The 27,710-nt window shown below is 40.4% G+C and overlaps 1 protein-coding gene across 14 annotated transcripts in view; it reads left to right on the forward strand.

Moving 5' to 3' along the window:
• Nucleotides 14,506-27,710, forward strand: part of GFM1 (G elongation factor mitochondrial 1) — a 51,055-nt gene continuing 37,850 nt past the window's right edge. For 3 of the 14 annotated variants that reach the window (NR_164500.1, NM_024996.7, NM_001308166.2), the window contains exons 1-8: nucleotides 14,506-14,694; nucleotides 15,608-15,760; nucleotides 16,144-16,276; nucleotides 16,722-16,926; nucleotides 19,020-19,136; nucleotides 22,075-22,225; nucleotides 23,289-23,446; nucleotides 24,526-24,610. Coding sequence is in view for 10 of the 14 variants with exons in the window: in NM_024996.7 (NP_079272.4) it covers nucleotides 14,614-14,694; nucleotides 15,608-15,760; nucleotides 16,144-16,276; nucleotides 16,722-16,926; nucleotides 19,020-19,136; nucleotides 22,075-22,225; nucleotides 23,289-23,446; nucleotides 24,526-24,610 (1,083 nt within the window). In the remaining 4 variants the exon portion in view is untranslated. Of the gene's footprint in view, nucleotides 14,861-15,607; nucleotides 15,761-16,143; nucleotides 16,277-16,721; nucleotides 16,927-19,019; nucleotides 19,137-19,983; nucleotides 20,041-22,074; nucleotides 22,226-23,288; nucleotides 23,447-24,525; nucleotides 24,611-27,710 lie in introns of all 14 variants that reach the window. The other 11 variants (NM_001308164.2, NM_001374355.1, NM_001374359.1 and 8 more) reach the window with 8 other exon arrangements.

The following is a 27,710-nucleotide window of genomic DNA, read 5'->3' on the forward strand; positions in this document are numbered from 1 at the left end:
TAGCTGGGAGTGGTGGCAGGCACCTGTAATCCCAGCTACTCAGGAGGCTGAGGCAGAAGAATTACTTGAACCCAGGAGGCAGAGGTTGCAGTGAGCTGAGATCATGCCATTGCACTCCAGCCTGGGTGACAGCGTAGACTCCACCTCCAAAAAAAAAAAAAAAAAAAGTGAGGGAAAAAACCATGCTGATATCTGGGGAAGAGCAAAGGCTCTAGACACATGAGGATCAGCAAGGAGGGTGTATTAGCCAGGGTTCTCTAGAGGGACAGGACTAATAGGATAGATGTAAATATGAAAAGGAGTTTATTAAGGAGTATTGACTCACAAAATCACAAGGTAAAGTCCCACAATAGGCCATCTGCATGCTGAGGAGCAAGGAAGCCAGTCCGAGTCCCAAAACCTCAAAAGTAGGGAAGCCAACAGTGCAGCCTTCAGTCTGTGGTCAAAGGCCCAAGAGCCCTGGCAAACCATTGGTGTAGGTTTGTGAAAGGAAATTAAATTTTGCGACCCCAAACTCATTTAGCCAAAGAGAAAAGTCAAGCTGGGAACTGGGTCATGCAAACCTGCCTCCCCTTTTGGTTCCTAAATAAGATGGCTACTAGATGAAAAGCTACGTGCCTCCCCCATATTTTTCCCACAAGGAAATTCCTAGTGAGCTGTTAAAATTTCTCCATGCAATGCAAGTTGATAGCTTATCTTTACAGGTGCAGTCAACCTGGCCCGCCAGACACAAATGTGTATGTGATTGTCCCCCTACCCCATTTTGGCTGTGTTATCTTAGGTAAAATGCAGATTCCCCACATTTTTCCTCTCCCCCTTTTGTTTATGTAAAAACTGAGTGTTTCTCAATATCCTGGCCTTTCCCCTTTAAATTTGAAACCCTCAAAATCATCTTTGAAGAAAGGCATATATCTGTCTCTCGGGTGCGTTGTTAACTTTGGCAAATAAGTCTCCTAAAATGACTGAGACTAGTCATTTTCCTCGATTGATAGTGTCGAAGAAAAGACTCAAACTCTGTAAAATATTTGGAGAGATTTATTCTCAGCCAAATATGAGTGACCATGGCCCATGACACAGCCCTCAGGAGGTCCTGAGAACATGTTCCCAAGGTGGTCAGGGCACAGCTTGGTTTTATACATTTTAGAGAGACATGAGACATCAATCAAATACATTTAGGAAATACATTGGTGTGGTCCAGAAAGGTGGGACAACTCAAAGCGGGTTGGATGGGGGGCGCTTCCAGGCTGTAGGTGAATTTAAACATTTTCTGGTTGACAATTGGTTGAGTTTGTCTGAAGACCTTGGATTGATAGAAAGGGAATGTTCAGGTTAAGATAAAGATTGTGGAGACCAAAGTTCTTTTGAAGTCTTATAGTGGCTGCCCTTAGAGAAAATAGATGACAAATGTTTCTTATTCAGATCTTAGTTAGTCTCTGAAGGATTGGGAGGGTCTGGAAGAAAAAGATCTAGCTATTTAATACAGATTCTTTACAGATGCAAATTTTTCCCCACAAAGAACAGCTTTGCAGGGCTATTTCAAAATATGGCAAATAAACATGTTGTTGGGTAAAATATTTTTATTTTCTTCCTTGTCTCGTAATGTTATGCCAGGGTCAGGTTAGAAAATAAGTCATGATATACAGAGTTAAATAAAACCCATCTGATGAGAATTTATGGTTTGTAGGGCATAGGGCATTACACCCCAGACCCCTTAGACAGGAATTTGGGCAAGATAAAAAAAATCAGAGTTTAGTCCTCAACAGGTTCAAGAGTCCAAAAGCTGAAGAACTTGGTGTCCTATGTTTGAAGGCAGGAAGAATCCAGGATGGGAGAAAGATGGAGGCCAGAAGACTTAGCCAGTCTAGTCCTCCCACGTTCTTCGGCTTGCTTTTATTCTAGCCACGGTGGCAGCTGATTAGATTGTGCCCACCCAGATTGACGGTGCGTCTGCCTCTCCAAGTCCACTGATTCAAATGTTAATCTCCTTTGGCAGCACCCTCACAGACACACCCAGGAACAATACTTTGCATCCTTCAATCCAATCAAGTTGACACTCAATACTAATCATCACAGAGGCCAATGTGGCTGGAGCAAAAGGGGCAGGGAAGTAGGAATTCCTTGCAATAAGAGCAACAATAAATTCACTGGATGGAGTGTCTTTAGCAGACAAAGGACCTGGTCTGACTTAAAAGGATCCCTTTAGTTACTGTGTTGTGAATTTGAGGCAGGATAAATAAGGTTAGGAGGCCATGCTAAGCAGTTGTACAGGATACCAGCCCACTGCCCAATGGTTACAAGTTCCTGACATCCAATACAGCTGGGAAAGACAACAAAAGCCTTTATTCATATTGTAGCTTCCCCAATTTCCAGCCAATTAGCATCAAAACCCAAGAAGCTATTAGCTACAAATTCCTGCCTTGAGTGAGGGGCAGGGGGAGGGGGACTGGGTGGCTAGAAACTTTTTCAGGTTCCTGCATGTGTAGCTAGGCTCAAGTTTTAGCTTATAATAGTTTTTTCCTTATTTTAATAGTAAAAATCACACTGCTAGGAAGAGATTTTATATGCTAATGATACATGCAATGCCTGTTAGAGCAGTGGTCACCAACCTTTTTGGCACGAAGGACTGGTTTCTTGGAAGACAATTTTTCCAGGGTTAGAGGGTGGGGGGATGGTTTCAAGATGATTCAAGCACATTTGTTGTGTGCTTTATTTCTACAATTTTATCATTTTCATTATATATTACATTGTAATATATAATGAAATAATTATACAACTCACCATAATGTAGAATCAGTGGGAGCCCTGAGTTTGTCTTCCTGCAACTAGACATCCCATCTAGGGGTGATAGGAGACAGTGACACTCAAAGTGTGTTGCTTATGTCCAGTCTACTCCATAATCTCATTTTGGTTGCTGTCACCACAGAAAATGCTACTTCACAAAGATAGGATGTTAGAAATGAAAGCAGGCTTTTCAGTGCTTTTTAGGCAATCTCAGGATATTCTGCCTTGACTTTAATCCAGAATGTATGGAGATTTGAAGTTGTCTCAAACATACTTTTAAGGCCACCGTTATTTGTGATCTCAAACCTTTGATCCTCTTCCAGCATGGACAAAGTTGATTCACAAATAATTTGTTCACAAATGTATCGGGGGAACCAGCCCCCAGTATTTCAATGTAGGTTCTTTCTATTTTCCCTAAGTGTCAGCTGGTCTGAGAAATAAAAAAGAAAGAAAATAAAGAGAGAAATTTTACAGCTGGGCCTCCGGGGGTGTCATCACATATTGGTAGGATCGTGATGGCGACCTCGAGCCGCAAAACCAGCAAGTTTTTATTAGGGATTTTAAAAGGGAAGGGAGTGTATGAACAGGGATTAGGTCACAAGGATCACATGCTTCAAAGGGCCATAAAGATCACAAGGCAAGGCAAAATTAGAATTACTGATGAGGTTCTACGTCCCACTGTGCAGGCATTGTCTTGATGAACATCTTAACAGAAAACAGGGTTCAAGAGCAGACAACCGGTCTGACTAGAATTTACCAGGCTGGAATTTCCCAATCCTAGTAAGCCTGAGGGTGTATTTCAGTCCTTATCTCAACCGCATAAGACAGATACTCCCAGAGCAGCCGTCTATAGGCCTACCCCCAGGAATGCATTCCTTTCCCAGGGTTTCAGTTATTAATGTTCCTTGCTGGGAAAAGAATTCATCGATATTTCTCCTACTCACACATCCGTCTATAGGCTATCTGCAAGAAGAAAAATATGGTTCTATTCTGCCCGACCCCACAAGCAGTCAGACCTTATTGTTATCTTTCCTTGTTCCCTGAAAATCGCTGTTATTCAGTTCTTTTCAGGGTGCACTGATTTCATATTGTTCAAACACACGTTTTACAATTAATTTGTACAGTTAACGCAATCATCACAGGGTCCTGAGGTGACATACATCCTCAGCTTACGAAGATGACAGGATTAAGAGATTAAAGTAAGACAGGCGTTAAGAAATTATAAAAGTATTAATTTTGGGAACTGATACATGTCCATGAAATCTTCACAATTTATGTTCTTCTGCCTCGGCTCCAGCCGGTCCCTCCGTTTGGGGGGACCACAACACAAATGGGTCACAGATACATTCCTTTCCAGTTCAGGGGTCTTTTGTGGTTGGGAAGTAATGCTCAAACTCTTTTGAAAGCTAAGATAGGTGATCATGCACTAGCTGGGAGAGAGAAGGCCCTGGCTTAGTCTCTTTCAAAATCTCTGCTAATATTCGAAACATGTTAAAAATCCCAGTGTTAACTCATCACCCCCATAATTCCAGTTTGATTTTGAATGCAGCCACTTTATCTGCCAACTTGAACACAGTTGTCATTCTCCCTTGAAGTGACAGACTGAGTTCATTGAGCAGGTTAAATATGTCATACGACTGAGCAAATTTTGTGACCCATTCTGTGTCACTGAAATGTGCTGCCACTGGTGACTGTTTTTCTAAAAGAAATCTGTGGAATGGAAGATGGCCGAATAGGAACAGCTCCGGTCTACAGCTCCCAGCGTGAGCGACGCAGAAGACGGGTGATTTCTGCATTTCCATCTGAGGTACCGGGTTCATCTCACTAGGGAGTGCCAGACAGTGGGCGCGGGCCAGTGGGTGTGCGCACCGTGTGCGAGCCGAAGCAGGGCGAGGCATTGCCTCACCTGGGAAGTGCAAGGGGTCAGGGAGTTCCCTTTCCGAGTCAAAGAAAGGGGTGACGGACGCACCTAGAAAATCGGGTCACTCCCACCCGAATACTGCGCTTTTCAGACCGGCTTAAAAAACGGCGCACCACGAGACTATATCCCACACCTGGCTCGGAGGGTCCTACGCCCACGGAATCTCGCTGATTGCTAGCACAGCAGTCTGAGATCAAACTGCAAGGCAGCAGCGAGGCTGGGGGAGGGGAGCCCGCCATTGCCCAGGCTTGCTTAGGTAAACAAAGCAGCGGGGAAGCTCGAACTGGGTGGAGCCCACCACAGCTCAAGGAGGCCTGCCTGCCTCTGTAGGCTCCACCTCTGGGGGCAGGGCACAGACAAACAAAAAGACAGCAGTAACCTCTGCAGACTTAAATGTCCCTGTCTGACAGCTTTGAAGAGAGCAGTGGTTCTCCCAGCACACAGCTGGAGATCTGAGAACGGGCAGACTACCTCCTCAAGTGGGTCCCTGACCCCTGACCCCCGAGCAGCCTAACTGGGAGGCACCCCCCAGCAGGGGCACACTGACACCTCACACGTCAGGGTATTCCAACAGACCTGCAGCTGAGGGTCCTGTCTGTTAGAAGGAAAACTAACAAACAGAAAGGACATCCACACCGAAAACCCATCTGTACATCACCATCATCAAAGACCAAAAGTAGATAAAACCACAAAGATGGGGAAAAAACAGAACAGAAAAACTGGAAACTCTAAAACGCACAGCGCCTCTCCTCCTCCAAAGGAACGCAGTTCCTCACCAGCAACGGAACAAAGCTGGATGGAGAATGACTTTGACGAGCTGAGAGAAGAAGGTTTCAGACGATCAAATTACTCTGAGCTACGGGAGGACATTCAAACCAAAGGCAAAGAAGTTGAAAACTTTGAAAAAAATTTAGAAGAATATATAACTAGAATAACCAATACAGAGAAGTGCTTAAAGGAGCTGATGGAGCTGAAAACCAAGGCTCGAGAACTACGTGAAGAATGCAGAAGCCTCAGGAGCCGATGCGATCAACTGGAAGAAAGGGTATCAGCAATGGAAGATGAAATGAATGAAATGAAGCGAGAAGGGAAGTTTAGAGAAAAAAGAATAAAAAGAAATGAGCAAAGCCTACAAGAAATATGGGACTATGTGAAAAGACCAAATCTACGTCTGATTGGTGTACCTGAAAGTGATGCGGAGAATGGAACCAAGCTGGAAAACACTCTGCAGGATATTATCCAGGAGAACTTCCCCAATCTAGCAAGGCAGGCCAACGTTCAGATTCAGGAAATACAGAGAACGCCACAAAGATACTCCTCGAGAAGAGCAACTCCAAGACACATAATTGTCAGATTCACCAAAGTTGAAATGAAGGAAAAAATGTTAAGGGCAGCCAGAGAGAAAGGTCGGGTTACCCTTAAAGGGAAGCCCATCAGACTAACAGCGGATCTCTCGGCAGAAACCCTACAAGCCAGAAGAGAGTGGGGGCCAATATTCAACATTCTTAAAGAAAAGAATTTTCAACCCAGAATTTCATATCCAGCCAAACTAAGCTTCATAAGTGAAGGAGAAATAAAATACTTTACAGACAAGCAAATGCTGAGAGATTTTGTCACCACCAGGCCTGCCCTAAAAGAGCTCCTGAAGGAAGCGCTAAAGATGGAAAGGAACAACCGGTACCAGCCGCTGCAAAATCATGCCAAAATGTAAAGACCATCGAGACTAGGAAGAAACTGCATCAACTAACGAGCAAAATCACCAGCTAACATCATAATGACAGGATCAAATTCACACATAACAATATTAACTTTAAATGTAAATGGACTAAATTCTCCAATTAAAAGACACAGACTGGCAAGTTGGATAAAGAGTCAAGACCCATCAGTGTGCTGTATTCAGGAAACCCATCTCACATGAGGAGACACACATAGGCTGAAAATAAAAGGATGGAGGAAGATCTACCAAGCAAATGGAAAACAAAAAAAGGCAGGGGTTTCAATCCTAGTCTCTGATAAAACAGACTTTAAACCAACAAAGATCAAAAGAGACAAAGAAGGCCATTACATAATGGTAAAGGGATCAATTCAACAAGAGGAGCTAACTATCCTAAATATATATGCACCCAATACAGGAGCACCCAGATTCATAAAGCAAGTCCTGAGTGACCTACAAAGAGACTCAGACTCCCACACATTAATAATGGGAGACTTTAACACCCCACTGTCAACATTAGACAGATCAACGAGACAGAAAGTCAACAAGGATACCCAGGAATTGAACTCAGCTCTGCACCAAGCAGACCTAATAGACATCTACAGAACTCTCCACCCCAAATCAACAGAATATACGTTTTTTTCAGCACCACACCACACCTATTCCAAAATTGACCACACAGTTGGAAGTAAAGCTCTCCTCAGCAAATGTAAAAGAACAGAAATTATAACAAACTATCTCTCAGACCACAGTGCAATCAAACTAGAACTCAGGATTAAGAATCTCACTCAAAGCCGCTCAACTACATGGAAACTGAACAACCTGCTCCTGAATGACTACTGGGTACATAACGAAATGAAGACAGAAATAAAGATGTTCTTTGAAACCAACGAGAACAAAGACACAACATACCAGAATCTCTGGGACGCATTCAAAGCAGTGTGTAGAGGGAAATTTCTAGCACTAAATGCCCACAAGAGAAAGCAGGAAAGATCCAAAATTGACACCCTAACATCACAATTAAAAGAACTAGAAAAGCAAGAGCAAACACATTCAAAAGCTAGCAGAAGGCAAGAAATAACTAAAATCAGAGCAGAACTGAAGGAAATAGAGACACAAAAAACCCTTCAAAAAATCAATGAATCCAGGAGCTGGTTTTTTGAAAGGATCAACAAAATTGATAGACCGCTAGCAAGACTAATAAAGAAAAAAAGAGAGGAGAATCAAATAGACACAATAAAAAATGATAAAGGGGATATCACCACTGATCCCACAGAAATACAAACTACCATCAGAGAATACTACAAACACCTCTACGCAAATAAACTAGAAAATCTAGAAGAAATGGATACATTCCTTGACACATACACTCTCCCAAGACTAAACCAGGAAGAAGTTGAATCTCTGAATAGACCAATAACAGGAGCTGAAATTGCGGCAATAATCAATAGTTTACCAACCAAAAAGAGTCCAGGACCAGATGGATTCACAGCCGAATTCTACCAGAGGTACAAGGAGGAACTGGTACCATTCCTTCTGAAACTATTCCAATCAATAGAAAAAGAGGGAATCCTCCCTAACTCATTTTATGAGGCCAGCATCATTCTGATACCAAAGCCGGGCAGAGACACAACCAAAAAAGAGAATTTTAGACCAATATCCTTGATGAACATTGATGCAAAAATCCTCAATAAAATACTGGCAAACCAAATCCAGCAGCACATCAAAAAGCTTATCCACCATGATCAAGTGGGCTTCATCCCTGGGATGCAAGGCTGGTTCAATATACGCAAATCAATAAATGTAATCCAGCATATAAACAGAGCCAAAGACAAAAACCACATGATTATCTCAATAGATGCAGAAAAAGCCTTTGACAAAATTCAACAACCCTTCATGCTAAAAACTCTCAATAAATTAGGTATTGATGGGACGTATTTCAAAATAATAAGAGCTATCTATGACAAACCCACAGCCAATATCATACTGAATGGGCAAAAACTGGAAGCATTCCCTTTGAAAACTGGCACAAGACAGGGATGCCCTCTCTCACCGCTCCTATTCAACATAGTGTTGGACGTTCTGGCCAGGGCAATCAGGCAGGAGAAGGAAATAAAGGGTATTCAATTAGGAAAAGAGGAAGTCAAATTGTCCCTGTTTGCAGACGACATGATTGTTTATCTAGAAAACCCCATTGTCTCAGCCCAAAATCTCCTTAAGCTGATAAGCAACTTCAGCAAAGTCTCAGGATACAAAATCAATGTACAAAAATCACAAGCATTCTTATACACCAACAACAGACAAACAGAGAGCCAAATCATGAGTGAACTCCCATTCACAATTGCTTCAAAGAGAATAAAATACCTAGGAATCCAACTTACAAGGGATGTGAAGGACCTCTTCAAGGAGAACTACAAACCACTGCTCAAGGAAATAAAAGAGGATACAAACAAATGGAAGAACATTCCATGCTCATGGGTAGGAAGAATCAATATCATGAAAATGGCCATACTGCCCAAGGTAATTTACAGATTCAGTGCCATCCCCATCAAGCTACCAATGACTTTCTTCACAGAATTGGAAAAAACTACTTTAAAGTTCATATGGAACCAAAAAAGAGCCCGCATCGCCAAGTCAATCCTAAGCCAAAAGAACAAAGCTGGAGGCATCACACTACCTGACTTCAAACTATACTACAAGGCTACAGTAACCAAAACAGCATGGTACTGGTACCAAAACAGAGATATAGATCAATGGAACAGAACAGAGCCCTCAGAAATAACGCCGCATACCTACAACTATCTGATCTTTGACAAACCTGAGAAAAACAAGCAATGGGGAAAGGATTCCCTATTTAATAAATGGTGTTGGGAAAACTGGCTAGCCATATGTAGAAAGCTGAAACTGGATCCCTTCCTTACACCTTATACAAAAATCAATTCAAGATGGATTAAAGATTTAAACGTTAGACCTAAAACCATAAAAACCCTAGAAGAAAACCTAGGCATTACCATTCAGGACATAGGCGTGGGCAAGGACTTCATGTCCAAAACACCAAAAGCAATGGCAACAAAAGCCAAAATTGACAAATGGGACCTAATTAAACTAAAGAGCTTCTGCACAGCAAAAGAAACTACCATCAGAGTGAACAGGCAACCTACAACATGGGAGAAAATTTTCGCAACCTACTCATCTGACAAAGGGCTAATATCCAGAATCTACAATGAACTCAAACAAATTTACAAGAAAAAAACAAACAACCCCATCAAAAAGTGGGCGAAGGACATGAACAGACACTTCTCAAAAGAAGACATTTATGCAGCCAAAAAATACATGAAAAAATGCTCATCATCACTGGCCATCAGAGAAATGCAAATCAAAACCACTATGAGATACCATCTCACACCAGTTAGAATGGCAGTCATTAAAAAGTCAGGAAACAACAGGTGCTGGAAAGGATGTGGAGAAATAGGAACACTTTTACACTGTTGGTGGGACTGTAAACTAGTTCAACCATTGTGGAAGTCAGTGTGGCGATTCCTCAGGTATCTAGAACTAGAAATACCATTTGACCCAGCCATCCCATTACTGGGTATATACCCAAATGACTATAAATCATGCTGCTATAAAGACACATGCACACGTATGTTTATTGCGGCATTATTCACAATAGCAAAGACTTGGAACCAACCCAAATGTCCAACAATGATAGACTGGATTAAGAAAATGTGGCACATATACACCATGGAATACTATGCAACCATAAAAAATGATGAGTTCATGTCCTTTGTAGGGACATGGATGAAATTGGAAACCATCATTCTCAGTAAACTATCGCAAGAACAAAAAACCAAACACCGCATATTCTCACTCATAGGTGGGAATTGAACAATGAGATCACATGGTCACAGGAAGGGGAATATCACACTCTGGGGACTGTGGTGGGGTGGGGGGAGGGGGGAGGGGTAGCATTGGGAGATATACCTAATGCTAGATGACGAGTTAGTGGGTGCAGCGCACCAGCATGGCACATGTATACATATGTAACTAACCTGCACAATGTGCACATGTACCCTAAAACTTAAAGTATAATTAAAAAAAAAAAAAGAAATCTGTGGAATGACTCTCATAACTCAGAAACTCTGGCCAGTGATCCACCTTTAAAAAGCTATCTCATTTCTGTGTATAAGAAGGTGTGTGTGCTCTGTGTGCATCTCCTCACGGAGCTGTGTGAACAGATGTGAGTTAAGGGCACGTACTTTAATGTGGTTGATAATTTTAATCACATCCTGCAAAACGTTAAGTTCATTTGATACTTTCTGGCTAGCTAGCATTTCTCTATGGACGACTCAGTGTGTAGACTCACATTCAGAAGCAACCTCTTTGACCCGAATAGTGAAACCAGAAAGCTGTCCAGTCATGGCAGCTGCTCTGTCGGTCCATAAACTGACACAAAATAACCAATTCAGTTTTGCTATGTAATCATTCAAAGACTTGACTAGTTCTGCCGCTGTGGTGTTGGTTGGCAACAAAAGTGCACATAACATATCCTCATGCACATCCACCTGAAAAATCACACAAAAACAAGCATTGTTGACTTGTTGTCAACCTCAGTAAATTAATCAACCTGGATTTTGTACCAGAGTGACCCATTAATCCTTTCTTTTCTTTTTTTTTTTTGAGATTGAGTCTCGATCTGTCACCCAAGCTGGAGTGCAGTGGCATGATCTTGGCTCACTGCAACCTCCGCCTCACGGGTTCAAGTGATTCTCCTGCCTCAGCCTCCTGAGTAGCTGGGATTACAGGCGCATGCCACCATGCCTGGCAGATTTTTGTATTTTTAGTAGAGATGGGGTTTTACCATGTTGGTCAGGCTGGTCTTGAACTCCTGACCTTGTGATGCGCCCGCCTCGGCCTCCCAAAGTGCTGGGATTATAGGCATGAGCCACTGCACCCAGCCCCATTAATCCTTTCTAGTAATTGTGCCTCGATATCCTCTGCTATTTCATCATTTCCTCTAATTATGGTGCTAGCCCAAAGAGGCACACGTGCCACCTTTTGAACTGCAGCATCTCCTAAAAGTTCATGACAAATGTCCTTAGCAGCAGGCAGGTTCAATTCTCCAGTAGTAAAGAGCTTCTTAGCTTAGCAATGCTGTTAGCCACTAAGAATGACACTGTCAATGCAGACACATTTGATGGAAGTGGCGGCCTTCAATAATTGCTTCTGTTCTTCGTGTCCACATTTTTTCTTTTGAAAAACTCCAAAGGCTTCTCTTTTTATGTAGGGTGCTTGGTCTCCATGTGGCGAAGCAGTTTTGAAGGTTTCATGGGTTTGTTGGATAGCCGCTTGCCACATATTATATAAAGCAGGCTTGGAGAATGTGAATCACCTGTTGCAGTGAACCTGCAATTTAAGTAGGACTCTAGGTATTTTCTTTCACATGCAGCTTTCCTTTTATTAGCAGTCTTAGAGTTTTCCATTTTCTCATCATTGGGTCTTTCCCCATTTTCAAAGAAGCTCTCCAGTGACATTTGTTTTTTACTCGTTTTGGCTAGAGTTAGGTTGTGGGCTTACCAAAACTGTGACTGAGGCAAGTGCTCAGTGTGGGAAGGAAGCGCGGACGGAAGTGGTAAATAAAATAATGGGCGGGCCACGCAAGACTTTAAAGCCTGCCATCAGATGCAACTGTACAACTGAAATACATCAACTCACTTGCCACTATAAAGCTTGCCACCAGTGCAGCTTTTGTCACTTGACACTCACTGACAGGGTTTTGATATGAATCTGCAAGCAATTGATTTATTATGGTCTCTGTGCAGTCAAACCTCTTTGCTAATGTTAATCTGTATTTGCAGCTGTTCCCCAGCCCTAGCGGCCACACCTTAGCTCCACCTCAGGTCATCAGGCATTAGATTCTCATAAGGAGTGCGTAACCCAGATCCCTTGAATGGATAGTTCACAAGGGGGTTCACACTCCCATGAGAATCTAATGCCACTGCTAATCTGACAGGAGGCAGAGCTCAGGTGGTAATACAAGTGATAAGGAGAGGGTGTAAATACAGATGAAACTTCACTCGCTCGCCCACTGCTTACCTCCTACTGTGTGGCCTGGTTCCTAACAGGCCATGGACTGATACTGGTCTCTGGCCCAGAGGTTGGGGACTCCTGTGTTAGAACATGTAGATGCCAAGTACCTGTGCCAACCACAGGTCCACCTTTGCATACTTGACCTTACCAGTATTTTATGAATATATATGTACAGCTCCCATGTTACCAGTGAAGGGTCTTGACTATGAGTCATACAGGTTCTTGGCGTTTGAACAAAGAATTGGACAAAACACATAAGCAAAGCAATGAAAGAATGGAGCAATGAAGGCACAGATGTGTTGAAACAAAAGTACACTCCACAGCTCAAGAGCACCTGTTACAGAATTTTCTGGGATTTAAATACCCTCTAGAGCGTTCCCATTGGTTACACCCTATGTAAATGAAGGAGTGGCCCATAACCAGCCTGCTTGGTTGCAGGAGGTGACCAATCAGAGGCTGAAGTGAAGTTACAAAGTTACACATGAGGACTTGGCCTGCTACCAGTCTGATTATTTGCCAGAGGGGACCAGTCAGAGGTACTTTCCATTTTTTCATCTGCAATGCAGTGCATTGGGAGTAGCCTCCGATCCTTTTGTTACTTGGGCATGGAGAGGTGGGGTTTTCCTTTTGGTTCAGCTCTAGGAAGTCAGCAGGGCCTTCGGTTCCCTGTCTCTAGACCCTGTTCTCCTGCCTCACCCATAAAGGGAATTCCCTAGAGATACTAAAGGCTGTCTGTCTCTCTTCTGAGCAGCCCACTCTGCCTCTCAGAGTGTACTTTTGGTTTACAATAAACTTTTTTGCCTACTCTTACTTTGTACTTGCTTTCAAATTCTTTTGTGTGGTGAAGTCAAGCACCTGAACCGGCCCACTGACAACAGCAAGGATAGAAGCAGTGAGATCGGTTACAAGGCTATTACAATAGTTCCCTCCAGAAACGGCAGTACTGAGAGGTGGGGAGAAGTAAGTTCTGGATTTTCTTTTTTTTTTTTTTTTTTTGAGACTCGCTCTGTCACCCAGGGTGGAGTGCAGTGGCGTGATCTCGGCTCACTGCAAGCTCCGCCTCCTGGGTTCACACCATTCTCCTGCCTCAGCCTCCCGAGTAGCTGGGACTACAGGCGCCCGCCACCGCGCCCGGCTAATTTTTTTTTGTATTTTTAGTAGAGACGGGGTTTCACTGTGTTAGCCAGGATGGTCTCCATCTCATGACCTCGTGATCTGCCCGCCTCGGCCTTCCAAAGTGCTGGGACTACAGGTGTGAGCCACCGCGTCCGGCCCTGGATGTCTTTTTGAAAGTAGAGCTTACAGGATATGCTGACTGATTAGACCGGAGATGTCACAGCATGGTGTCAAAGCGACTAATATTTTTGGCTAGAATCACTAAAGTTTACATTTATGAGATGGATAAGACTGTGGAAGGTTTGGGGAAGAAGATCCGAAGCTCAGTTTTGGACCTGTTAGGTTCAACATGCCTCTTAACACATCCAAGCAGAATGGTCAAGGATGCAGTCTTCCACATGGACAGGACATGAAATGTCTGACATCGAACAATAACAAATAACATTTTGACATGAGGAAAAGTATTTGTAATTGTAATTGATAGTTCATTCACTATAATTTGTCCACGTTCTTTTTCAGGCCATGTCATATATATACCTATTAATATTTGTAATAGACAATTTTGCTCTTTTCTACTTAAATTGTTATATACATTTCTCCACATTGCTTTATAGGCCTAACAACCATGTTTAAATTCTGTATCTTCATACAGAGGTAATATTTAAAAAAGAAGACGAAGACAAAAGGACTCCCTTCCCTCACCCATATACCTATGCCGTCTTACTGGGAGCAAACACTTCTTTAGCTCCGCAAAGCGATTGCACTTTCTCTTCCAAGTCGGCAGACGGCGCGCGAGCAGCGTAGGCACTGCTCCGCCTCCAATCCAGTTGCTCTTCTTTCTTTTCCTCACTCTCTTTTTCCTCGCGTCCTTTGCCCCGGAAGTGCTCTTACAACATTGGCTGCCGGCGTGACTTTGACCGCTTCCCGGTGCGTTACCGGCAGCTGAACCCACCCGGCGCCACGGGACTTTGACGCGTGCTCTGCGCTTGCCATGAGACTCCTGGGAGCTGCAGCCGTCGCGGCTCTGGGGCGCGGAAGGGCCCCCGCCTCCCTAGGCTGGCAGAGGAAGCAGGTACCGGAGCATAGAGAGGCTAAATCGGGACCATTCCCGGAACCTTGTGATCCCTTCTGGGCAATGGAAGGCCGTGACACCCCCTGGGTCCTCATGACTGACAGCTCCGAATACTGGCAGTCGCTCGTCAGTGCTGAAAAGCACCTCGGTGCCTGCACATTAGCTCGTTAGCTCGTTTGTTTCGCTCTCTGGTATCCCTAGGGTTTAATCAACTAAAAGTGTCTGTCACTCAGATACTTTGATATTTTATCCACCTTTTCTAAGGTTTTTTTTTTTTTTTTTTGCCTCTCTTTTCCCGTGAATAATTGTGCATTTTGGATGTGCAGTCCTATAGGGAAAGGTTTATATTGTATCTTCATTCCATCTAATAGGGATCCCCATCCCCTGCCACCAGAGTAAAGTTAAAACAAGCTTCATGAATTGTTTTTGTTTGGAGGGAATTGGAAATCTTTGGGGGCTGTCTTGGAGCTACTAGCATCACTGCATAGAGCATATAAGTTCTCAAACATATTTGTCATCTGTGAACTACAATAAAGGAGAAAGGGAAAAAAATTAAGTTAAATTTAAGCTAAAATTTGTATTTTCTATTAAAGTATTTTTTGGAGCTGTCTTTGTGATTTTATCTGCCCCAGTGTGTATTTTCAAATCTGCAGTAAAAAGTGTCTCCCATTTTAATTAAATTTAACTTATTCATTAATTAATTTTAAAAGAATACGTCTTTACTGTCTTGTTTTGAAGTCTGTCCTCTGATTACAAGAGTTCCAGGCTTAAAGGTTTCCCCTGGTGCCTTTCTCAAGCTATCTCATATCCAGTGAGATTTCTTGGAGGAATAATGTCCACCATACTCCTTTTAATTGTCTGTTGTTCTCTCTTATAAAAGGTGCATAGAATTGAGCTCTCGTATTTTTTTCAGGTTAATTGGAAGGCCTGCCGATGGTCTTCATCAGGGGTGATTCCTAATGAAAAAATACGAAATATTGGAATCTCAGCTCACATTGATTCTGGGAAAACTACATTAACAGAACGAGTCCTTTACTACACTGGCAGAATTGCAAAGATGCATGAGGTATATATTCACGGTTGATTCCGGATTAATTAGAACCAGATTTTAATTGTTTTGTTGCTATTATTTAATAAAGCTTATAAACCTGAAAGATTAAAACAATGGTAACAGCGGACTTTTGACAGTTAGGCTTATCTGAAAGTTGCTTAAGTTAAGTATCTGTGTTCTGGTTTTATTTTTATTTTTTATAGAAGAGGTCTCACTTTGTTGCTCAGGCTGGTCTCAAACTCTTGGGCTCAAATTATCATCCTGCCTCAGTCTCCCACAGTGCTGGGATTATAGGCATGAGCCACTGCACCTGGCAACTGTTTCCATTTCAGTTAAGATTTCTTTCCTTCTTGGAATGCAGGGACAGAGAAAGTCTGAATTGCTGTGCTTGTGTTTAGGTGAAAGGTAAAGATGGAGTTGGTGCTGTCATGGATTCCATGGAACTAGAGAGACAAAGAGGAATCACTATTCAGTCAGCAGCCACTTACACCATGTGGAAAGATGTCAATATTAACATTATAGATACTCCTGGTGAGTTGGATTCTTGGTTTTATTGCAGCTTCTTTGGCAAAAGCACATTTGGTTCTTTCTCTTACTGTGACCCAATTAGTTTTTGATTGTCAAATACTCAAAAGTGTAACACTGAATTCCTATTAAAGAAGACTAACTTAGGACCTAGAGCACTTCATCCTTATGTAGTTTTCTTGAAAATTTGTGCAAGTAAATTGTGAGTAGGCAGATTCTTGCCTTTTACATATTCTAGCTGATTCTAAAGGTGCCTGTGCCCTAGTATTTTCTTGAAGTGATCTTGCCAGGCCCTGCACCTAAGGGTTGGTGAATAGTATTGGTGAGCTCAGGAATCTACATTCTTATTAGAAGACTTATGTGATGAGCAGAGATACAAAAACTTCTAATAGTGCATATATTAAAAATTCAGATTGCTCTTTAAGACCCTCTCATACTTCATCTTATTCAGGGCATGTGGACTTCACAATAGAAGTGGAAAGGGCCCTGAGAGTGTTGGATGGTGCAGTCCTTGTTCTCTGTGCTGTTGGAGGGGTACAGTGCCAGACCATGACTGTCAATCGTCAGATGAAGCGCTACAACGTTCCGTTTCTAACTTTTATTAACAAATTGGACCGAATGGGCTCCAACCCAGCCAGGGCCCTGCAGCAAATGAGGTAATGAGCCTTAGAATAAACAAAGAGGATGTGATGATCTAGACAGCAAACCTTATATCCAAAAGGGTGATTAATTCACTGTCATTAAACTTTATTCTTAAATTTAGTTTTTTAAATATATTTATGTGAGTTAGTAAGTGGAACACTGATTTTAGTAAATTGGCTTGTGGTATGATCTCATCAACTACCTTATCTCTAAAATGGGGACAATATTACTTAAATTCTAGGGAGGTTGAAGATGAATTCAGAAAACAGTCTGACCGTTTATACTGTTTTGCTATTATGAGAGAAGTTATAATCTAGATTCTAAAAATACCTTGTGTTTTATTTAGACAAAAGATCATCTTTGGTTTTAATTTTTCCTTGAAGCATTTTAATTAATGCCCTTAAGTAGTTTGCCATAGAGATGAGATTTTCTTGTTTTCAGACGGAAACATATTTTCTAGGACAACAGTAACACTTCCTTTCTGTACCAGATAGAACCAGTAGTATTTATAGCATTTTAAATTTTACACAATATTATATATTTCACAAAGCCTTTAAAAAGAGTCAGAATTTCACTTTTCACCTTTTGTAGATGTGCACGTGTAGCTGTAGAGCTCATACTTACGTTTCACATGGCATAGTTGATGGATATGTAGGTGTAAAGTTTATGGTAGTGGACAGGCTGAGAATGGTGTATCTGATGACAAAAAATCTGATGGAAGTGATATATTTGATATGAAAGTGAACATTTTCTTAGTTGGGTGTTTATAACTTTTTTTTGGTAAATTGTTTTTAGTTTTTATCCTTATTTTACTTATGCTTGGCAATAGATGGTCTTTTTTCCCCAAATCTTCTTCTGAATTCCAAGGAAACACTGTTTTAGCATTTATTTGATTACTTTGGTTCATTCTTTTCTCCACTCCCATTTATTTGTTTTCCATTTTGTAACTTCTATAAAGCAGATAAAAATCTGGAACTTCTAGATCTGACCTTCATGCCTTGTCTTTTCTATGGTACTTATTCTTTCTGTCTCCTTCTCATTTTGGATTGGGCTTATGAGAGAAATCTTGGGGTTGATCTTCCAGCTCACTAATTTGATATTCATTTGTGTCTCTTCAGTTACTTAGCTTGCCTGAAAACTTTTTTTTTCAGCAATTGTGTACTTAATTTTCATAAACTTTCTCTTTCCTTGCAACATTTTTATCAGTAGAGGTAATTGTTTCTCAAATCTTTACATTTTATTTTCTTTCCTCTAGTAACTCTCTTCTTGGAGGTAAGTGCTATTAAGTTCACATTTCTCTTTCAAGCTTTTGGTTTCCTTCAAATATTTGGTGATTCTTAGATCTTTAACCATAGTTATAGATGGGAGTCTAGAGTCTAGACTAAACAGTGGTAGCTAGAGCATATTCTTTTCCAGTGAGGATTCTTGCCAGTGAATGCAGTTTCTATTCAGTTTTGAGCCTGGGCCGGGCGCGGTGGCTCACACCTGTAATCCCAGCACTTTGGGAGGCCGAGGCGGGTGGATCACCAGGTCAGGAGTTCAAGACCAGCCTGGTCAACATAGTGAAACCCCATCTCTACTAAAAATACAAAAAATTAGCCAGGCGTGGTGGCGGGCACCTGTAGTCCCAGCTACTCGGGAGGCTGAGGCAGGAGAATTGCTTGAAGCCGGGAGGCGGAGGTTGCAGTGAGCGGAAATCACACCATCACACTTCAGCCTTGGCAACAGGGCGAGACTCTTGTCTCAAAAAAAAAAAAAAAAAAAAAAAGAGGTGGGCTCAGCTATCCTACTATTTAATTTCCTGGCTAGCCCTCCATTATCTGTTCTTCCCCCTTCTGCTTTTGATCCAGTGTATCTGGGGATCTGATGGTAAAACAGTTATTCTGGAGTTCTTTTTGTTGCCTAAATGGGTTTGTGGCTTCCTGAGCTCCTTGAGTTACGTTGTCAGTCTGTTCCCAGCTGCTTTATATTTTCTGTTCTGACCTGATGGTAACACCCTTCTCAGTTCTCCAGTGTCTGCCACTGATTTTTTAAAATATTCATTTTGTCATTTCAAAGGGATTAGGGGAGAAGAAAAAAGGTAAACAAGTGTATTTTTATTTTTCAGGTCTAAACTAAATCATAATGCAGCGTTTATGCAGATACCCATGGGTTTGGAGGGTAATTTTAAAGGTATTGTAGATCTTATTGAGGAACGAGCCATCTATTTTGATGGAGACTTTGGGTAAGTGCTAAAAATACATTATTAAAATTTTAAATTTTAAAAAGCATTAAAAAGAAGGAAAGGATAAGTTCATCAAACGCAGAGTAACTATCTTTTTGAAATGCGACTGCAAGAATACTCTGAGATGGTTTTGTTTTAATACCTTTAATCCTAGTCGCTCCCCATTTTATTTAGTATTTATTCTGTGAGAGACTATGTTACTTTTTGGGTAATATACCCATATCACATTATGGCATGCATGGTGTGGTAGAAGGAGGCCTTCAGTTTGGGTTAGTAAATTTGGGTTAGTGAATGTATTGTATCTTTTTGCACTTGTTCATTTATTCATTCATTCTGTGGACTTTTATAGAGCAGCTGCCAGGTCTGGGGTATTGTGATAAAAATTAGGAAGAAAATAGAGATCATAAATATTTGCTCTTCCTGCTTTATAATTACATGGACAGAAAAGATTAATAAATTAAAACAGTTAAAATTGTACAAATGTGGTTTGGGAAATGCAAGAAATAAGTTGGTAACTTTTTGATGTGGTATTTGGTCCATCAGCTCTTGAGTGACCTTTACCTACAAAGTACTGTAATTGCCTGGTAGTTATCAAACCTTAGCGTTGTTCATAACAATCCCCTGGAGACTTTGTTAAAAGACATAGTCCTGGCTCTACCTCCAGAGATTCTGATCAGTAGATTGGGGTGGGGCCCGTAGTTTGCATTTCTGGAAGGTTTCCAGTTGATGCTGCTCTTACAGGTCTGCAGACCACACTTTGAGTGACACTGATCTAGACAATGTGAGGAGTCATAAATGATCCTTTGTTCTGAGGAGTGACCTCTGTAGCCTGGTCGTTTCTCCACAGGCACTTCCTGAGGGATTTCCTTCCTCTGCTATGGAATTGGGATCGCAGGTCTGGCAGGTGGGCGAATGGCATTGTGATCAGTGAACTATAGAATTTATCTTCATCAGCCATCTTGTAAGCAGGAAAAGGATGGAGTCTGTCCAGTGGATAAGGTGTTTCTCTCACTTTTTATGTAACAACTGAGTAATGACAACAAAGTTTACCTACCACTCCTTAGGATATAAGGCCCAGTAAGGCAGAGTTTTTGTTTTTCTTTTTTCCTACTTTATTCACTGCTATGTCCCAGCCCCTAGAACAACTAGTTACAACTAGGCAGTTGTAACTGCCTAGTACATAATAGGGACTCAAAAATATTTGTAAATGAATGAATAAATCCACTTTCCCAGAATTACCAAGGCACATATTTCTGTTGTCAGAAGTAGAGACTCTTAAACTTTGTTGTACATCAGAACCACAGATGCAGCATCTTAATGTACATGTCCCCTTCCCCAGCCCTAGTTTACTGTATGTGTATTTGGAAAGGAATCCACAGATGATTCTGACATGTGAAAGGCTAAGAAGCAGGGAGCTTGCCAGGAAGGTTGAAATTAAAATCTGAAAGTTGTGGGGAGTCTTAGAATATTAAGTGTTACTTTTTGTTGGAAATGGCTTCTTTTGTCTTTATTAAAGTTAGGAATGTGTTTTCTGAAAAGCTTACTTTTTGATATTAATTTCCATTTTTAAAGAAATAACTTGAGGCCAGGCGCAGTGGCTCACGCCTGTAATCCCAGCACTTTGGAAGGCCGAGGTGGGCAGATCACGAGGTCAGGAGATAGAGACCATCCTGGCTAACACGGTGAAACCCGTCTCCATTAAAAATACAAAAAATTAGCCGGGCGTGGTGGCGGGTGCCTGTAGTTCCAGCTACTCGGGAGGCTGAGGCAGGAGAATCTCTTGAACCTGGGAGGCAGAGCTTGCAGTGAGCCGAGATGGCACCACTGCACTCCAGCCTGGGTGACAGAGCGAGACTCCGTCTCAAAAAAAAAAAAAAAAAAAAAAAAAGAAATACCTTGAAAAATTTTCAGACTGCTTTTAAATATCATGTCAAGTATATCCATTTTGGCTTTGAACATTTTATTTGTAATTTTACCTGTTCAACCTCTGGTGTAATGGAGAACTGATGTCACAGATTGAAGAGTCTGTCATATTTAGTCACCGTTTTTTTAAACTACAAATTGGGATATTCTTTGTTAAAAAGTATATGATCAGGTCTGTTATTAATGGAAAGGAATAGAGTAAGGTCTTCCTAGTACTGCTTACTAGAGATTGTTATGTTGTGATTAATAAGAATATGATTAATACAATTTCAAAGAACTCAGATGGGCCCTAGGCAGGTTGGCTTTGAATCTTACCTCTTCTGTTTACTAGTAGGACAGCCTTGGGCAAATTACTTTGCCTGTGTAAGTTAGTTTCCTGATCTGAAAATGCAGATAATAGAAGCTACTTCATATGTGAAGATCAAATAAATAACTTGTCACATATTTAGTTTAGCGCTTACTGCATTATAAGTATTCAGTAAATGGATGCTGTTATTACTTTGCATGCCTGCCAGTTTTAAAATAATTAGAGTACAGTAAAAACTACACTGAAGAGTTTAAACTTTGATTTAGGTGATACTTTGTCAAGTCATTGTTTTGAACTTGTATTTTACTGTATATTGAGTAAGGATAAACCAGGTTGCATTAAATTGGGAAGATTTTGTGTTATATATTTTATCATTTTCTTCTGTAAAACTTGATATGCAGAAAAGTAGAATGTGATGTCTATTATAAAACCAGAGATTTTTTTTTTCTCATTATAGTGGACTGTTTTAGCTCTTCCGGTTACTGGTAGTACAACCTTGACCTTAAACTTGCCTATTTCAGTATATTTATCTACTATTCTGTGTACATTTTAAAGGTATACATTAGTCTTATTTGCCATTTGAATGCAAATGTATCAGAGCTCTTTGTTACCTAAAAAAATATTTTAACCATTAATCATATATTTTTCATTAGTCCTTCATATATTAAGTTGAATATCCTTAAAGCACCAAAATATTTGCTTTCTTAGTCAGATTGTTCGATATGGTGAGATTCCAGCTGAATTAAGGGCGGCGGCCACTGACCACCGGCAGGAGCTAATTGAATGTGTTGCCAATTCAGATGAACAGCTTGGTGAGATGTTTCTGGAAGAAAAAATCCCCTCGATTTCTGATTTAAAGGCAAGTGCTTTCAAAATAAGTCTTATGTTAACAACAAAAAGAAGTCGTTTGTTTTTTGTAGGGAGGGGACATGATGCTTTTATGTATGGGCTTTATTAATGAAATCTCAATACATTTATTTAACATAATTGGCTTCCTCAAAAAATACTTGACATGGTATACTTTTTTTTAAGTGAGTTATGTAATAACTTCAAATGAGAAAAGTTATTGAGGACCCTTAAATTATTGGGGACCTGATTTTAGTCTCTATTAGAGCCAGCACTCCAAAGAGTGTCAGTTCATTTTATTCATTTGTTGGTTGTGGCCACAGCACTATTGTTGGCCTCTTCCAGCTGCTAGAGCTAAAGCTCCACTACGTATTCTCTAAGGCCTGCTCAGCCAGCAGGACACATTGATGGTGTTTGCACTAAGGGCTGGGGCAGGACCTGGAGCTGCTACTGTCATGACCTGTAATTTATGAGAGATTTGTACTGTTTGGCTTCCTGTGTGTATGTTCTTTACAAAAAGAAAAAGATAAGTTAAATGTTTCGTAATAGAGCATACGTTCATATGGTTTAAATATTTAAAAGGTATACAAAGGTAAACAGTAAACACCCTTTTATTTTTTTCTTCCATCTGCCCAGTTCTCTTCCCTGTCCCTGAAACAGGTTACCAGTTAATAGCTTCTGGTGTACCATTCCATAGGCTTTTGGTTTTGCGTATATATTACTTTTTCCTCTATTTTGTACAATTGTAGCGTACTGTTTGCAGTGTTCTATTAGTGTGTCTATTTTCTATGTGTATATGTATTTTTTTTTAGCAAATTGAAAATTAGTGAGAATTAGTGATTCCAAGAGTGTCGAAAGCAGTTGTATAGTAAATCACTTCCCAGCCCTGAAGAAGAAAGTGATTTTTTTCTTTGTATTTTGACCTTAAGTTCATTGGAGACCTGATTTTAGTCTCTATTAGAGTCAGCACTCCAAAGAGTAGAGTATCAGTTCATTTTATTCATTTGTTTGTAGTTGACTTGAAGCACAACATGTAATTTTAACATTAACTACCATTAAATTGTTTTCTTTTGTAGCTAGCAATTCGAAGAGCTACTCTGAAAAGATCATTTACTCCTGTATTTTTGGGAAGCGCCTTGAAGAACAAAGGAGTTCAGCCTCTTTTAGATGCTGTTTTAGAATACCTCCCAAATCCATCTGAAGTCCAGAACTATGCTATTCTCAATAAAGAGGAGTAAGTCTTGAAAATTGAATCTTAGTTTATGCAGAAATACTTTCGTATTTATGCACTGTGAAGGAATTTAAGGATAGTTCTTTTAATTATGTCTGTGATTTTTTTTCATAATTTACAATCATGGTTTTTATTTGGGTAACAATTTTGACGTATAGAAAAATATTTATTATACTAGTTCCTATATCATATTCTGTTTTGAGTTGGAAGTATGATTTGTTTTACTCTCTCTCAAGGTTTACATCATTAGAAAATTTTCTCATTTGGGACTAGCTGTTTTCAGACATACTGTTAAAAAAAAAAAAGTTTTAAGAAACAAACTTCTGCCAGGCGCAGTGGCTCACGCTTGTAATTCCAGCACTTTGGGAGGCCAAGGCGGGCGGATCACCTGAGGTTGGGAGTTTGAGACCAGCCTGACCAACATGGAGAAACCCCGTCTCTACTAAAAATACGGAAATTAGCCGGGTGTGGTGGTGTGCACCTATAATCCCAGCTACCCAGGAGGCTGAGGCAGGAGAATCACTGGAACCTGGCGGGGCAGAGGCTGCAGTGAGCTGAGATTGCACCACTGCACTCCAGCCTGCCTGGGTGACAGAATAAGATTCCAAAAAAAAAAGAAACAAACTGCAAAAGAAACTCATTGGTTATGTTTTCTTTTCTTTCCCTATGAGACCATTTCTGTGTTTTTTAGTGTACTTTTGTCCTATCACTATGTAGTAACTAAGCTAAGCTCTAAAGACCTTTTTTTTTTTTTTTTTTTTTTTTGTTGAGACAAAGTCTTGCTCGGTTTCTAGGCTGGAGTGCAGTGGTGCAGTAATAGCTCACCACAGCCTCGAACTCCTGAGCTCAAGTGATCCTCTCACTTCTGTTTCCCAAAGTGTGGGCATTATAGGCATGAGCCACTATGCCCAGCTGAGAACTTATTTCTATTGATCTCTTTCAGTGAAATTTTACTTATGTGTGACAGCAGTAATATCCCACACACGTGCTTTTTCTCAGATAATACTTCCTGATGAAATAAATTGATATAAAAGAAATATCATATATTACATCTCATAGATTTATATTTCTTTTATTTTAAGTGACTCAAAAGAGAAAACCAAAATCCTAATGAACTCCAGTAGAGACAATTCCCACCCATTTGTAGGCCTGGCTTTTAAACTGGAGGTAAGTTGCTTTCTAATGTATTTAACTGCTATCTGTAGAATGTTTTTACTTCTAGGCTTTATTCCTATTACAGAATGACTCTGACTTTTATGAAAGATTTGGAAAATAGGAAAGTAGAAAGAGCAGGTAGAGAATTTCCAAAGCTCTGACATGATAGTTCTTTTGTTATTAGGTGCATTTCTTTCTAGTCTCTTCTCTTTGCCTGAAGAGTGTAAATTTTTACCTAAATCATACTACCTGTATAGTTTTGTCCTGCTCTTTTTATTTAATGTCACAGTAGATAATGGTCCATGTTTCTATAAATAGTTTAAGCATTTTAAATAGTAGCATAACAGTGCATCAAGTAGATACACCAAAATTTGCTTAAAATTTCCTAATTGTTAGATGTTTATATTGTTTCCAGGTTTCTACTGTTATAAATAACATTGGGTCCATTTCTAGAAATATGTCCTAAGGAACTAATGAAGGGTAGCGAATTAATGTTAGCTTCAGCTCACCTTATAAAACCAAAATCTCGCAAACAATTGAAAATGCCCAGCCAGTCGCAGTGGTTCACACCTGTAATCCCAGCACTTTGGGAGGCTGAGGCGGGCAGATCAGAAGGTCAGGAGTGGGAGGCCAAGGCGGGCGGATCACAAGGTCAGGAGTTCGAGACCAGCCTAGCCAACATGGTGAAACCCTGTCTATACTAAAAGTACAAAAATTAGCTGAGTATGGTGGCGGACACCTGTAATCCCAGCTACTCAGGACGCTGAGGCAGGAGAATTGCTTGAACCTGGGAGGTGGAGGTTGCAGTGAGCCGAGATCGCACCACTGCACTCCAGCCTGGGCGACAGAGCAAGACTTCATCTCGGAAAAAAAAAAAAAGAAAATGCCCAGTAATTACAATTTGATAAATAAACTGAGGTACATTCTTATAGTACAACATTATTCAGACTTTAAAAATTATGTTGAAATGCCTATTTTTGACATGAAAAGATGTTTATGATTTAAAAAGAAACAAACTTACTTATTTTAGAATATTTTAAAGAAAAGTTATGAAGATAGTCCAGAGAATTCCTGTATATCCTGCACCCAGTTTCCTCTATTGTTAATACACACTGTCACAACTAATGGGCCAATACTGATATATTATTATTAACTAAAATCCTTACTTCATTTGAATTTCTTTAGTTTTTGTCTAGGTCCTTTTTCCGTCTCACTAGACAGAAGGACCACAGAAGGCCCATCCAGAGGACCACGTTATATTTGATTGTCATGTCTCCTTATGATCTCCTAGGCTGTAATAGTTTCTTAGACTTTCCTTGTTTCTCACGAGATTGATATTTTTGAGAAGTATTGGTCAGCTCTTTTGTAGAGTGTCCCTCAATTTGGGTTTATTATTTGATGCTTTTCACATGATTAGATTGGAGTCATGTGTTTTTAGGAGGACTGCCATCGAGGTGAAGTGTTATTCTTGTCACATCATATCCAAGGTACAGACTTGCAGCATGATTTATCATTGTTTTTGTTTTTTTTTGTTTTTATTTTTATTTTTTTGAGATGAGATTTCGCTCTTGTTGCCCAGGCTGGAGTGCAATGGCACAATCTCGGCTCGCTGCAGCCTCCACCTCCCAGGTTCAAGCGAGTCTCCTGCCTCAGCCTCCCAAGTAGCTGGGATTACAGGCATGCGCCACCACGCCCAGCTAATTTTGTATTTTTAGTAGAGACATAGTTTCTCCCTGTTGGTCAGGCCGGTCTCGAACTCCTGACCTCAGGTGATCCGAGTGTCTTGGCCTCCCAAAGTGCTGGGATTACAGGCATGAGCCACCGCACCCGGCTGATTTATCATTGTTAATGCTAACCTCAATCACCACACCTGGCTGAGATAGTGTTTGACAGGTTTCTCTGCTGTAAAGTTACTGTACTCTTTTTATTCCCCTTTTCATAGTGTACTTTTTAGAAGGAAGTCACTTGGCTCAGCCAACACTTGAGGGGGGAATTATGTTCCACCCCCTTGAAGGGGGCACTATCTACATAAGTTATTTGGAATTCTTCTGAAAGGGAGATTTGTCTTTCTTCCCTGCTTATTTATCTATTTGGACAATCACTTATTTAATATCAGCGTGGACTCACGTATATGTATTTTGAACTTTGAGTTATAACTATGACTTTGAGTATGTCATTTGTTGTTCAGATTGGCTGGGTTTGGCGATTGGGAACTCTCAGTTGGCTCCTGTGTTCCTTTAACATCTTCCAATGTTTTGCCTTTTTGAATACTTCCTTACTTGCTGGCACTACAAGACGCCTCAGGCTTATCTTGTATATTCCATGCCCTAACCCTAGAATCAGCCGTTCTCCAAGGAGCACTGGTTCCTTTTTAAGTAAAATGGTATTAGAAACCAAGATTTGGGGACTGGATGGGCTTTTTGTTGAAATGCTGTTGCTTCTGTACATAATATTTTAAGTGGGGAAAAATGGTAGATAAGTTGGAAGTGTTAAGAGTGGTTATTTCTGGGATGGGATTATATTTTGGGGGCTTTTTCTTACTTTAAAAATATTTTACAGTATATTTATTACCTCCAAAATGAGGGGAAAATTTTTTTAATTAAAAAGTGGAAATAACATTACAGTAAAAGTATTTACACATAAAGCTTTTAAAAATACATATATAAGAATATTTTCTTAGGATTCCCAGAATAGTGATTATTGAGTTAAAGGCATAGAATGTTTTCATAGTTAATGGTTTATATTGCCAGATTGCGTTCATACTCTCCAAATTAATGTATTGGATTATTTCAATGAATATCATCATTGAGTATTGTTTAAAAATCATTACTGATTTAACAAATGAAGAATTCTATTGTAATCTTTTATCTTGATGAAATAAATTTTGATTTTTAAAAGCAATCAGTGCTTTAAAGTTTGTATAGTCGAATATGTCAGTCTTTCTGTTTAGTCATTCATTAATTTTTAACCTTAGCAACCTTTTATTTGTATATATTTTGTTAATATTTACTTTCGTTCCTTCTACTTCTTTATGTTTTTTTTCTTTCCCCATCATTAATTCAACTGGAATTTGTTTTAGTGGGTAGGATCTAAATGTATCTCCTCTGCCTCC

The sequence above is a fragment of the Homo sapiens genome, chromosome 3, assembly GCF_000001405.40.
Source record: "Homo sapiens chromosome 3, GRCh38.p14 Primary Assembly".
NCBI lineage: Eukaryota > Metazoa > Chordata > Mammalia > Primates > Hominidae > Homo > Homo sapiens.